The 13,139-nt window shown below is 48.8% G+C and overlaps 1 protein-coding gene and 1 long non-coding RNA gene across 8 annotated transcripts in view, besides 5 other annotated features; both read right to left on the bottom strand.

Moving 5' to 3' along the window:
- The window catches only part of RIPK1 (receptor interacting serine/threonine kinase 1), a 51,221-nt gene extending 49,216 nt beyond the window's left edge, over positions 1-2,005 (bottom strand). For 5 of the 7 annotated variants that reach the window (NM_001317061.3, NM_001354932.2, NM_003804.6 and 2 more), the window contains exon 1: positions 1,913-2,005. The gene's annotated coding sequence lies outside the window, so the exon portion shown is untranslated. Of the gene's footprint in view, positions 1-1,250 lie in introns of all 7 variants that reach the window. The other 2 variants (XM_047419448.1, XM_047419447.1) reach the window with 2 other exon arrangements.
- Positions 1,663-1,772: a silencer, noted in NCBI's record as "silent region_16843". NCBI's record gives its function as "represses an Ori minimal core promoter by ATAC-STARR-seq in GM12878 lymphoblastoid cells {active_cell/tissue: GM12878}" and the evidence as "EXISTENCE:reporter gene assay evidence [ECO:0000049][PMID:35858748]".
- Positions 1,963-2,252: a silencer, noted in NCBI's record as "silent region_16842". NCBI's record gives its function as "represses an Ori minimal core promoter by ATAC-STARR-seq in GM12878 lymphoblastoid cells {active_cell/tissue: GM12878}" and the evidence as "EXISTENCE:reporter gene assay evidence [ECO:0000049][PMID:35858748]".
- Positions 2,283-2,332: a silencer, noted in NCBI's record as "silent region_16841". NCBI's record gives its function as "represses an Ori minimal core promoter by ATAC-STARR-seq in GM12878 lymphoblastoid cells {active_cell/tissue: GM12878}" and the evidence as "EXISTENCE:reporter gene assay evidence [ECO:0000049][PMID:35858748]".
- LOC124901242 (uncharacterized) lies at positions 8,615-10,884 on the bottom strand. The gene is made up of 2 exons (XR_007059409.1): positions 9,948-10,884; positions 8,615-9,473 (listed from the first exon to the last, which is right to left on the bottom strand). It is a non-coding gene; the product is annotated as an uncharacterized LOC124901242 (long non-coding RNA).
- Positions 10,645-11,437: an enhancer, noted in NCBI's record as "NANOG-H3K27ac hESC enhancer chr6:3054769-3055561 (GRCh37/hg19 assembly coordinates)". NCBI's record gives its function as "activates a minimal SCP1, AML or CMV promoter by ChIP-STARR-seq in naive H9 embryonic stem cells {active_cell/tissue: H9 hESC(naive)}" and the evidence as "EXISTENCE:reporter gene assay evidence [ECO:0000049][PMID:30033119]".
- Positions 12,050-12,279: a silencer, noted in NCBI's record as "silent region_16840". NCBI's record gives its function as "represses an Ori minimal core promoter by ATAC-STARR-seq in GM12878 lymphoblastoid cells {active_cell/tissue: GM12878}" and the evidence as "EXISTENCE:reporter gene assay evidence [ECO:0000049][PMID:35858748]".

Genomic DNA, 13,139 nt, shown 5'->3' with positions numbered 1-13,139 from the left:
CATCACTGTCCTCTAGACATCATGTGACCTTGGGAGGTTGGAAATGCGTTGTTTTTGCTTCATTTTGTGTTCAGTGTTTTAACTCAGAAACATCTATTTGGGAGCTTTACTCATTACTCCCAGCAAAAGCCATGAGTGTAGACTGTGCATGAGATGAAGGAACTGGTCCTTGCAGAACACCAGAATGGAAAAGGCAAGAAACAGCCCAAGGTGAGGAAAGAAAACCAGCGAGAACAAAGAGCTGGTACTATCTCTGAAGCCCGTGGAGGCCAAAGTGTGAATATGAGGGGGTAGGTCTCTTGGCCACAGGCCTGAAACCAAATGAACCCCCACCCCCAGGCTGCAGTTCCCAGTGCACTTGGAAATGAGACCCTGACTCCTCCAGGTGAGCCTGGGAGACCTCCCTGACTCCTTTCCATCTCCCCCTCCTCCCCCACACCCATCTCCAAGGCCTGCCCTCTACGCCCACATTTCTTCCCACTTTGGATCCTGTGCCTGGTCTAATGCCCAGGCCCCCTCCCGAGCCTCTGGTCTCCCTAGAGCCACTCCCCACTGTCGGGACACCTCATCTGTGCTCCCCAAAACGCCACGCAAAGCACTGGAGAGCCTTGGACAATGAACACAACCCGCACCCCCAGCCACCCCCGCCACAGCCGCACGGCACCTCAGAAAGCCGTGTCTTTTTTTTTTTTTTTTTTTTTTTTTTTGAGACGGAGTCTGGCTCTGTCGCCCAGGCTGGAGTGCTGGAGTGCAGTGGCGCGATCTCAGCTCACTGCAAGCTCCGCCTCCCGGGTTCACGCCATTCTCCTGCCTCAGCCTCCCGAGTAGCTGGGACTACAGGCGCCCGCCACCACGCCCGGCTATTTTTTTGTATTCTTTTTTTTCTTTTTTTTAGTAGAGACGGGGTTTCACAGTGTTAGCCAGGATGGTCTCCATCTCCTGACCTCGTGATCCGCCCGCCTCGGCCTCCCAGAGTGCTGGGATTACAGGCGTGAGCCACCGCACCCGACCAGAAAGCGGTGTCTTAATCCTCTTGTCCTTCCTCCTAAATCTCCTGGGGCCCTTAGGATCCGCTTAAAGCCACCTCGTTAAAACGGTTTCTTCTCCACCTGCCCCTCCCTTGATCCAGCCTCACTGAGGTCACAGCCTCCACCTCTGGCCATCCTGAACCCCTCCCAAAGTCACCTCTTCGCAAACTCCTGGTCCCCCTTAGAAGGCCCCACGTCCATCACGGGATTAATTCCACTCACCCTCAAACACCGCGGCCCGGAGGCTCTGATTCCCACCCTAGAGGAGGTTCTCTTGACCCCGCCGGCGCGACCCTCCCCAGCACGACCCTTCCTCCCGAAAGTGATTCCTCATCTTGCTGGCGGGTCCCACAGACCGCAGGCTCTGCAGGCGAGCGCTGAGCCTGGCTCTGCAGATTCTCAGTCCCTGGAGGAGTGCTCCGGGGAAGGAAGGGCCCCATCCGTTTCGCTGAGTTACTGAAAGAATTAGAATGGGTAAGAGTGCTCGGATTTAGAACTGGAGACTAGTGACTTTGAAAGACAGAAGAAGAACCAGGACAGACGTCATCCTGCGGATCCCAGAGCAGAGAGGAGCAGTGAGAACACAGGGCCGGCAGGTGGGGAGGAGGCTGCAGGGGAGGGCTTCGGCCAGGGAAGGGCAGCGAGGAGGCGCCGGGGAGGGCGGCGTCCGCGCTGGCTGGGAGCTGCGGAGGCGGAAACCGGCTGCGCGCTGCAGGGGACCCCCCACAGACCGTTGCTGACCCCGCCGAGACACCACCGCCTCCCCGGGGCTCTTGGCTGAGCGACCTCTCCTGTCTTCAGGTCCCATCTTTCGGTGGCAGCCGGTGGACCTGAAGCTCGCCACTCCCGTGCTCCACCCCGGCCGTGCGCGGGGACGTCCTCACCTGCCACCTAGTCTCCGTGTCGCGCTCCGAGCCTGGACGCCGACTCCCGAGGCGCAGGACCGGGCCCTGCTGCTGCGCTCGCCGCGGACTCCCACTCGGCCCCGGCGGGCACCGCCTTTTATATAGTAGCTTGTGACGCCACGGAGCTTTTCCCACACTTGACGAGCAGTCTAACTGGGGCTCCGCCTGCCGGGACTAGCCGGGGAGGCGCGCGCGTTCGCGCGGCGGCGGAGGGCAGGGCTAGGCGCAGAGGCAGATCCGTCTACCCCCAGTCCGCCCCGCCCAGGGCGATGTCCGCCAATGCTCCCGCCAGCCTGAGGCCGGCCAGGTTCCCAAGGCGCGCGCTCGGCCTCACCCACCCCCGGCGCCAGGGCCTCTTCAGGACCGGGTTCAGAACCTGACAGCCCAGAGAAGTAGGTTGGGAGCCTGCGGCGTCCAGGGCCTCCGCGCGAAGAAACAAGGCGTCTGCGGGAAAGGAGACGGAGCCTGGAACCCTGGGCTTTTCTACTTAAGGAAGCGAAGGTCGGGTGACAGCCAAGCTCCCTGTTCCAGTGGGAAGGCCCCATGGGTCTGTGTTCCACGCCTCTTGTCATGAATATGGGGGATTCACTTAGAACCAAAGCATTTGTTCCAGGTCCCACCACTAACTAGTACTAGTCCTGGGCCCAGAACCAGGCGTCCTCACTCCTAGTACCCAAGCCCTTCTCTAGCCACAGGTGTTTGGGCTGCGGTGTGGTGTAAGCAGCCCCATTTTCCCGCAAAGTGATGGGAAGAGACACTGAGTCACACGGGCTCAGGACACTCCTTGTGTCCTCTATCAGGGGATCCAGAGGCAGGGACTCGGGGGAGTTGATGCAGCAGTTCGTGATGTCATCAGATATCCCCCCACCCCCTTCCATCTCAGGCTGGACTCAATTGGAAGCATTTCATGTTGGCACGGTGACGTCCAGAGGAAGGGAACAGACAAATGGCTCTCTCTGGAGCACGGAGCGTCGCCCAGAAGCCGTGCCCTCCTGTTTCAAATTGACCAGAATTAGAGCTTTCTCCTGAGGGCCTGAATTAGGGAGAAGCAAGCCAGGTGCCTAAGGCACAAAATTTCAGGAGGGCCACACGCATAGGTGCCAACCCTGCATTTGCGCGGCCCTGAGAATCAGAGCCTCCTTCAATTTGACACCCTAGGTGCCTAGCTTGTTCTTATTAAGGTTGGGTACGGTGGCTCACGCCTGTAATCCCAGCATTTTGGGAGGCCGAGGCAGGCAGATCACGAGGTCAGGAGCTCCAGACTAGCCTGGCCAACATGGTGAAACCTCGTCTCTACTAAAAATACAAAAATTAGCCCGGCGTGGTGGTGCACGCCTGTAGACCCGGCTACTCAGGAGGCTGAGGCAGGAGAATCGCTTGAACCTGGAGGCGAAAGTTGCCATGAGCCGAGATTGCACCACTGCACTCCATCCTGAGCGACAGGCGAGACTCCGTCTCAAAAAATAAAAATAAAAATAAAAATAAATAAATAAATAAATAATATATAAATAAAATAACACCTTTAGTAAAATACAATTCACATACCATAATGTTCATCCTTTTAAAGCATGCAATTCAGTAGTTCTTAGTATATTGATGAAGCTGTGCAACTATCACCACTATCTAACTCCAGAAGATTTTCATCACCCTAAAAGGAACTGTGATACCCATTAGCAATTATTCTCCATTTCCTCCTTCCCACAATCCCTGGCAACCACAGATTTATTTTCTGTCTCTGGATTTTCCTATTTCGGGGATTTCATGCAAAATGAACCATACAATATGTGGTCTTTCGTGGCTGCTTCTTTTACTTAGCATAATGTTTTAAAGGTTCATTCATGATGGTTCAAGGTAGCATTTGTCAGGCTTCATTTCTTTTTATGGCTGAATAATATAATAATATGTATACATATATCTATTTTGTTTACCCTTTCAATTGACAGACATTTGGGTTTTTTCCATCTTTGGCTATTATGAATAATGCTGCTATCAACATTCATGTATAAATATATTTATGAATAATGCTGCTATCAACATTCATGTATAAATATATGTATAGAGGTATGTTTTCTTGAGCTTATCATGGATATATACCAGTGGGTAGAATTGGTGAGTCATATGGTATAACTCTATATTTAACTTTTTGAAGAACTGCCAAACTTGTTTTTGCAAAGCTACTGTGCAATTTTACATTCCTGCCAGCAATATACAGGCATACCTCAGAGATATTGTGGGGTAGGTTCCAAACCACCACAATAAAGCGAATACCACAATAATGCAAATCACGCAACGCTTTAGCAGCCCTATGCATATAATAGTTATATACTATACTGCAGTGTATTAAGTGCACGTTATGTCTCAAAAATGTAGATACCTTAATCATAACACATGTTATCACTAAAAAAAATGATGATAGTCATCTGAGCCTTCAGTGAGTCATAATCTTTTTGCTGGTGGAGTGGCCCGCCTCAATGTTAATGAACCTGACTGATCAAGGTGGTGGTTGCTGAAGGCTGGAGTGGCTGTGGCAATTTCTTTTTTTTTTTTTTGAGACAGAGTCTCGCTCTGTCGCCCAGGCCTGAGTGCAGTGGCGCTATCTCAGCTCACTGCAAGCTCCGCCTCCCGGATTCACGCCATTCTCCTGCCTCAGCCTCCCCAGTAGCTGGGACTACAGGCGCCCACCACTGCGCCCAGCTAATTTTTTGTATTTTTAGTAGAGATGGGGTTTCACCGTGTTAGCCAGGATGGTCTCGATCTCCTGACCTCGTGATCCACCCACCTCGGCCTCCCAAAGTGCTGGGATTACAGGCGTGAGCCACCGTGCCTGGCCGGCAATTTTTTAAAATCAGTTGGCTTCATCAATTGATTCTTCCTTTTATGAAAGATTTCTCTGTAGCATGTAACGCCATTTGATAGCATTTTATGCACAGTAGAACTTATTTCAAATTGGTGTCAATCTTCTCAAACCCTGCCACTGCTTTATCAACTTACTTTGTTATATCCTAAATCTTTTGGTTTTTGTTTGTTTGTTTTGAGACAGAGTCTCGTTCTGTCAGCCAGGCTGGAGTGCAGTGGCACAATCTCAGTTCACCGCAACCTCCGTCTCCCAGGCTCAAGCAATTCTCCTGCCTCAGCTTCCCGAGTAGCTGGGATTACAGGCATGTGCTACCACACCTGGCTAATTTTTGTATTTTTAGTAGAGACAGGGTTTCACCATGTTGGCCAGGCTGGTCTCGAACTCCTGACCTCAGGTTATCCACCGGCCTCGGCCTCCCAAAGTGCTGGGATTACAGGTGTGAGCCACCACACCCGGCCTGTTGTCATTTCAACAGTGGTTACAGCATCTTCCCCAGAGGCAGATTCCATCTCCAGAAACCACTTCCTTTGCTCATCCATAAGAAGTGACTCCTCATCTGTGAAAGTTTTATCATGAGGTTGCAGCAATTCTGTGACATCTTCAGGTTCCATTTCTAATTCTAGTTCTGTTCTATTTCCACCATATCTGCAGCTACTTCCTTCCCTAAAGTCTTCCATGAGCGTTGGAATTAATTTCTTCCAAACTCCTGTTAATGTTGACATTTTGACCTCCTTCCACGCATCACAAATGTTCTTAATGGCATCAAGAGTGGTGAGAACCTTTCTAGCAATTTATCAATTTATTTTGCCCAGATCCACCAGAGGAATCACTATATCTGGCAGCTAATAGCCTTTTAAAAATTATTTTGTGTTTATTATTATCATTATCATTATTATTATTATTATTATTATTATTATTATTATTATTATTTTGAGATGGAGTCACACTCTTGTCACCCAGGCAGGAGTGCAGTGGTGCGATCTCGGCTCACTGCAACGTCCGCCTCCCGGGTTCAAGCGATTCTCGTTACTCAGCCTCCCAAGTAGCTGGGATGACAGGCGCCCGCAACCACGCCCAGCTGATATTTGTATTTTTAGTAGAGACGGGGTTTCCCCATGTTGGCCAGGCTGGTCTCGAACTCCCTACCTTGGTTAATCCACCCGCCTTGGCCTCCCAAAGTGCTGGAATTACAGGCGTGAGCCACCACGCCCGGCCGGAAGTGTATTTTTTAAATAATAAGACTTGAAAGTTGAATTTACTCCTTGATCCATGGGCTGTAGAATGGACGTTGTGTTAGCAGGCATGAAAACAGCATTCATCTCCTTGTACGTCTCCGTCAGAGCTCTTGGGTAATCAGGTGCATTGTCAATGAGCAGTAATATTTTGAAAGGAATCTTTTTTTCTGAACAGTGAGTCTCAACAGTGGACTTAAAATACTCAGTAACCTATGCTGTAAAGAGACATGCTGTCACCCAGGCTTGGTGGTTCCACTGAGAGCACAGGCAGAGTAGGTTTAGCATAATTCTTAAAGCCCTAAGATTTTCAGTATGGTAAATGAGCATTGGTCTCAACTTAAAGTCACCAACTGCATTAGCCCCTAACAACAGAGTCAGCCTATCCTTTGAAGCTTTGAAGCCAGGCATTGACTTTTCCTCTCTAGCTATGGAAGTCCTAGGTGGCATCTTCTTCCAATAGAAGGCTGTTTTATCTACATTGAAAATCTGTTTAGTGTAGCCACCTTCATCAATGATCTTAGCTAGATCTTCTGGATAACTTGGTGCAGCTTCTCCATCAGCACTTCCTGCTTCACATTGCACTTTTATGTTACAGAGATGCCTTCTTCCCTTAAACCTCATGAACCAAGAACCAACCTCTGCTAGCTTCCAACTTTTCTTCTGCAATTTCCTCACTTCTCTCATCCTGCATAGGATTGAAGAGAGTTGGGGCCTTGCTCTGGATTCGGCTTTGGCTGAAGGGAGTTCTGTGGCTGGTTTGATCTATACAGACCACTTAAATTTTCCCCATGTCAGCAATAAGGCTGTTTTACTTATCATTCATGTGTTCACTAAAGCAGCACTTTTAATTTCCTTCAATAACTTTTTCTTTCATTCACAACTTGGCAGCTTGTTTGGTGCAAGAGGTCTTGCTTATGGCTTATCTTGGCTTTTGACATGTCTTCCTAACTTTAATCGTCTTTCACTTTTGATTTAAAGTGACAGGCATGCAACTCTTCCTTTTATTTGAAGATTTAAAGGTCATTATAGGGTTGGTTCTTCACTACCCTAATTTAAATATTGTTGTGTTGTCTCAAAGAATTTGGGAGAGGGAGAGAGATGGGAAATGACTGCTCACTGGAGCAGTCAGAACACACACAACATTTATCCATTAAGTTTGTCAACGTATATGGGTTTAGTTTGTGGCACCCCAAAACAATTATAGTAGTAACATCCCGGATCACTGTAACAGATGTAATAATAATGACAATGTCTGAAATATTGTGAGAATTACCAAAACGTAACACAGAGACAAGAAATGAGCACATGCTGTTGGAAAAATGGTCCCAAAATCCTGCTTGACACAGTTGCCACAGACCTTCAATATGTGAAAAACACAATATCTTTGAATTGCGCTAAAGCAAAATGCAATGAAATGAGGGATGTCTGTATAAGACAAAGAGAAAATCATAAAAGCAGCAAGACATGTACAAGGGATCCTCAATAAACTCATATGTCTATGGCCAAGGGTGCCAAGCAGTATTCAATTCAGGGAAGAATAGTCTTCAACAGATGATATGGAAGGACTGTATTTCCACATGCAAGAGTAAAGTTAGACCCTGCTTCACACCGTATTAAAAAAACCCTCACAAGCAATGAACTAAATATAAAAACTAAAATCATAAAATTCTTAGGAGAAAACATAGAAGCAAATCTTCATAATTTTGGGTTTGGTAATAGGCTCTTAGATATGATAGCAAAATCTCTTGCAAAACAACAATGAAAAAACAAAAAGAAACAAAATCCACTGGGAGTAATCTTCATTAAAATCTGAAATTTTGTGTATCAAAGGATATTATCAAGAAAGACAACCTACAGAGTGAAGGAACATTTTTGCAAATCATATAGCTGATAAATTCAGAATATAAAGAACTTCTACAACTCAACAATGAATAGGCAAACAATCCAATTAAAGTATAAGCAAAGGACTTGGATAGACATTTCTCCAAGGAAGGTATACAAATGGCCAGTAAATGCATGAAAAGACGATTCAAGTCATTAGTCATTAGGGAAATGCAAATCAAAAACCCAATGAAATACCACATCACATCTGCTAGGATGGCTATAATTTAGGGGAAAAAAAGCAACATAATAAATGCTGGTGAAAATATGGAGAAATTGGAACCCTCATACATTGTTGGTGGGAATGTAAAATTGCACAGACACTGCGAAATACATTTTGGCTATTCCTCAAAAAGCTAAACATAGGATGACGATAGAATTGTTATAACAATTCCATTCCTCGGTAGATACCCACAGTATTAAGCGCAGGGAGTCACACAGATACATATATGCCAAGAATCATTGGTGCATTATTCACAAATCTCAAACGACCCGTGCATTTTTAATATTCGGCCACAAAGAAGTGAAATTCTGACTCATATTACAACATTGATGAAACTTGCCAACAAGGTTTTCAAGGGAAATAAGCTGACTGTAAAGGCCCATTTTGTAGGATTCCACTTATACGAAGTACATGGGACAGACAAATCATAGAGACAGAAAGTAGATTAGAGGCTACCGGTAATGAAAGGAGGGGGGAATGGGAAGTTATTTTACAATGAGTACCGTGTTTTTATTTGTTCTGTTGAAAAATGTTTTGGAAATAAATAGCAGGAAAGGTTGCACAACATAGTCGATGTAATTAATGCTTCTGAACTGTCCACTTAAAAATGGATAAAACAGCATATCTTATGTTGTACATATTTGACTACACAAAAACAAAGTTTAAAAGTACAAAAAACTCTGTTATTAAGAGTCAGTTTCCCAAAGGGATGGAGATGCTGGTAACAGAAGGGAAAGAAATCTCATCAAATAAAAAAAAGCAATGTCCTCTTCAGGAGGTGGCTCAGCTAGTTTAGCTTTACCTTAGCACCATGATGGTTCATTTTATTCAGAAATAGAAACATGGGGCGTTGGGGAGAAGAGGAGATGTGTACCTGCCTCACCTGCCTCCCTGCCCAGAATGCCGACTCCGACTCTTGCTTTCCACTAAGGCTGGGGATTAAATGAAAATTGAGAATCTGGAAACCCCCAGAGATGATGTTTGTCGTTGGAGCTGATTTTATCTCGTCTTAGTAGCGTGACCTCCTCTTCAAACTCAGGATGCAATTATGGTCAATCTCATCAGTGTGCAGTAATTGCTCAGCCCCAATACCAGATTAGCAGGAAGTTCTGTTATTTTCCTTTTGAGGACGGGCTCCTACTGAACTGTCCTAGAATCTACCACCATTCAACTCACACCACTCAAAAGACCCAGGGAACGGCCAGGCGCGGTGGCTCCCGCCTGTAATCCCAGCACTTTGGGAGGCCGAGGCGGGCGGCTTCGAGGATCAGGAGGATCACGAGGCGGATCACGAGGTCAGGAGATCGAGACCATCCTGGCTAACACGGTGAAACTCCGTCTCTACTAAAAAAAAAAAAAAAAAATTTAGCCCGGCGTGGTGGCGGGCGCCTGTAGTCCCAGCTACTCGGGAGGCTGAGGCAGGAGAATGGCGTGAACCCGGGAGGCGGAGCTTGCAGTGAGCCGAGATCGCGCCACTGCACTCCAGCCTGGGCCAGAGCGAGACTCTGTCTCAAAAACAAAAACAAAAACAAAAACAACAAAAAAAGACCCAGGGAACTAGGCCAGTCCAGCTCCCAACCCCAAGCAGGGAGCAACTTGCTCAGTCCACGTTGTGATAGCTCCTCGCTGCCACAAGGTGGTGATGTTGCATCACACACGCGCATGATGGGCGCGCAGGCGCCAATGCTCCCAGGACCTGCTGTTCCATTCCTAAATGAAAGTTGTTCCCAGGATCTGGACTCACAAGACAAGGCAGCCTGTTCCCTGCTGGGGAGCTCAGGGGCAAGAGGGCATCTCGGAGGGAGGGCACATTCTCACCTCTGAAGACAAGGAGAACATCATCAGCACATAGACCAATCCCAGCAGTGCACCTTAGGATGGGGGCCACTGTGAGTTACAGCAAAATGAACGAATGAATGAACCAATAAATGTCTGAGAGGGAAAGTCCCAACGACCCTCAGGAGGTGCAATCAAGAGTTGCAGTTATTTTCGTTAGGAACGTTCTAAACCACAGGGGAAACCTTCCTTCCTTCTGCTCTATCGTTGGAGTGGGACATCAGTGTTTCTGGTCTCTATTTCCGGGACACCAGAAATCAAGGTATAGAGTTTGGAGAGGGGTCTTGGGGAGGTCACAGTGGCAGGTGACTGCCAAATGAGGGGGCAGAAGCCAGCAAACACTAGAAAAAAAGACAATCGGCCTAAACTGTTCACCAGCACCGCCCTCCCAACCCCCAACTGGCTCTGTTTCCAAGACTTTCCATTTTCTAGCCATTTCCTTGTCCTTAAACCACTTTCCTTTAATCGAACTTTTTCTTTGGAGCCATGCACCCAAGGACTATGGCCTGTCCTTGGGAATTATAGGGAATTCCTGTTGTATGTGAAATTTTCCACCGATTTAAGAATCTTTGGAAAGCTTTACTACAATATCCTGGTCCATTGTCAGTTTTGATTTTTTCTGGAACTCCCATGACAGCAAAACAAGACAATAAACGTTTTTTAACATGGGAAGTACTTTCTCCTGTCTGGCAAGCTGCCCATATGAAATGTGAATAAGTATCAACTGTTACATGAACATATGACAATCTTCCAAATGAAGGGACATGCGTGACATCCATTTGCCATAATGCATTAGGACACAGACCTCTGGGATTAACTCCTGCCTCTTGAGTGGGCAGGTGTAAGACTTAACACTGGGGAGAAACCTTGGACAATACCTGGCTTTCCTAGGCAGAGGACCCTGCGGCCTTCCACAGTGTTTGCGTCCCTGGGTACTTGAGATGAGGGAGTGGTGATGACTCTTAAGGAGCATGCTGCCTTCAAGCATTTGTTTAACAAAGCACATCTTGCACCGCCCTTAATCCATTTAACCCTGAGTTTGACACGCACATGTTTCAGAGAGCACGGGGTTGGGGGTAACGTCATAGATTAACAGAATCTCAAGGCAGAAGAATTTTTCTTAGTACAGCACAAAATGGAGTCTCCTATGTCTACTTCTTTCTACACAGACACAGTAACAATCTGATCTATCTTGCTTTTCCCCCCACCGCCCTCCCAACCCCCAACTGGCTCTGTTTCCAAGACTTTCCATTTTCTAGCCATTTCCTTGTCCTTAAACCACTTTCCTTTAATCGAACTTTTTCCTTGGAGCCATGCATATCCGGTTTCCCCCAATGGTGGCATCTCACAAAGGACGGTCCAGTATCCCAACGGCGTGTTGCGTTCTGCGGGACGCAGATTTCCTTCACAGGCACCCCCCGGGTTGCGTTTTTATAGCCACACACCCGCCGCCTCCCTAACTCCTGGGCACAGCTAATGAGTCCTGCATTTCTCTCCTCTGTCCTTTGGAGAAATTGATCCCCCGTCTGTGATCTTTGGGATTGGTTTCGCTCACCAGCGTAACTCCCCGGGAGATCCAGCAGGCTGATGGGTGTGGAGTACCAGTGGCTCATTCTTTTTGTCGCACTACAGACTCTCATTCTGTAACCTGGATATCTGCCAGGGATGGGGCGGGGGTTGGCATAGAGCAGGAGCGTCCCTCCTCCCCGCACAGAGTCCCAGCACTCCTTTTTTTTTTTTTTTTTTTTTTGAGATGGAGTCTCACTGCAGTTCAGGCTGAAGTGTAATGGTACGATCTCGGCTTACTGCAACCTCCGCCTCCTGGGTTCAAGCAATTCTCCTGCCTCGGCCTCCCGAGTAGCTGGGACTACAGGCGCTCCCCACTACGCCCAGACTAATTTTGGTATTTTTAGTAGAGACAGGGTTTCACTGTGTTGGCCAGGCTGGTCTCGAACTCCTGACCTCAGGTGATCCGCCCGTCGCGGCCTCCGGGATTACAGGCGTGAGCCACCGCGCCCGGCCTCCGCGCTCCATTCCTGTGGGTCCAGTTTCCACCTCCTCGAAACCCAGCAGGGTCCTCCCCAGCCCTGAAGGGCTAGACGAGCCCGGAGGCGGACTGCGGTGGCGTGGCGTGGCGTGGGCGGAGCTTGGAGCCGGAGGCGGGGTGTGGGCGGGGCTGAGAGGCGGGGTGCGGCCTCGGCGTGGGCGGGGCCTGTGTGTGGCGGGCGCGCTGCGGAAACAAGCCTGCAGTCCCGCGGGCCTGGTCCCAGGCTGCTTGGGTTGTGCGGGTACCTGGTCCCCCAGGGCGGAGCCGCAGCGCTCCTGGTCTGCGGGACGTGGCCCTGTAGCTGGAACCTGGCGCAACTCAGAGAGCTGTCCTCGCAGAGGCGCTGGTCCCAGACCTGCGGCTCCTACCCCGGCCGGCGCTGGCTGGAGGGTGAGTGATCTCCTACCGGAGACCGAGGGACTTGGGAGAGGCAGTTCCCTCCTGCAGCCTCCCCGGAGGTTCTAGGTCACCATTCACTGTCCCTGCAATGAGACACCTTCCGGTACCACTTATCTAAAATAGCAAACATTCCCCTGCTGTTTGATCCGCTAGAGTACTTTATTTGCTTATCACTATTAGGTACCATAGTTTTTGGTACTTACCGCCACCTGGAATTTTGTGGCGCTTTCTTTGCCGGCTTGTTTATTGTTTCTTGCCCGCCCCCCGTACCGTCCCCGAAGAGTACAAAGTTCCATTCGTATCTGTCTTGTGGCCCCAGCACCTGCCCAGAGATGAGCCCTCCTGCCAGGAGGGGTCCAGCTGAACAAACGTGTGTATGGGTTAGGAAATGTGTCCCACTCATTGCTAGTAATGGAGTCAACGCCAGCGGCTTTCAAAGAACTCGTGAAGAGCCTGGAGCTTCTCAGAAACCATCACCCGCTCTGGAACCTCCATGACTCTGGGCTGCATACTCACCTTCCAATCTTAGTTTCGCCTCCACCTTGACCTTTAACCCTCCTGGGGGCCCGTCTGCAATAGTGCTTCAGATTCTTCCCCTATCTTTAACCTGAGAGCACCTGCCTCACCTTAGACCTGCTCTCCGCTGTCCTCAGGGTCCCTCCACGGTGTGCGCCATGGGCAGCCTCCTTCCCTCTAGGTTCCCCATAGATTGAGAGCGACCTGAGAAG

This window comes from Homo sapiens, chromosome 6, assembly GCF_000001405.40.
Source record: "Homo sapiens chromosome 6, GRCh38.p14 Primary Assembly".
Lineage (NCBI taxonomy): Eukaryota > Metazoa > Chordata > Mammalia > Primates > Hominidae > Homo > Homo sapiens.
The sequence above is the reverse complement of the archived record's forward strand: the minus strand, read 5'-3'. Positions and strand labels throughout refer to the sequence as shown.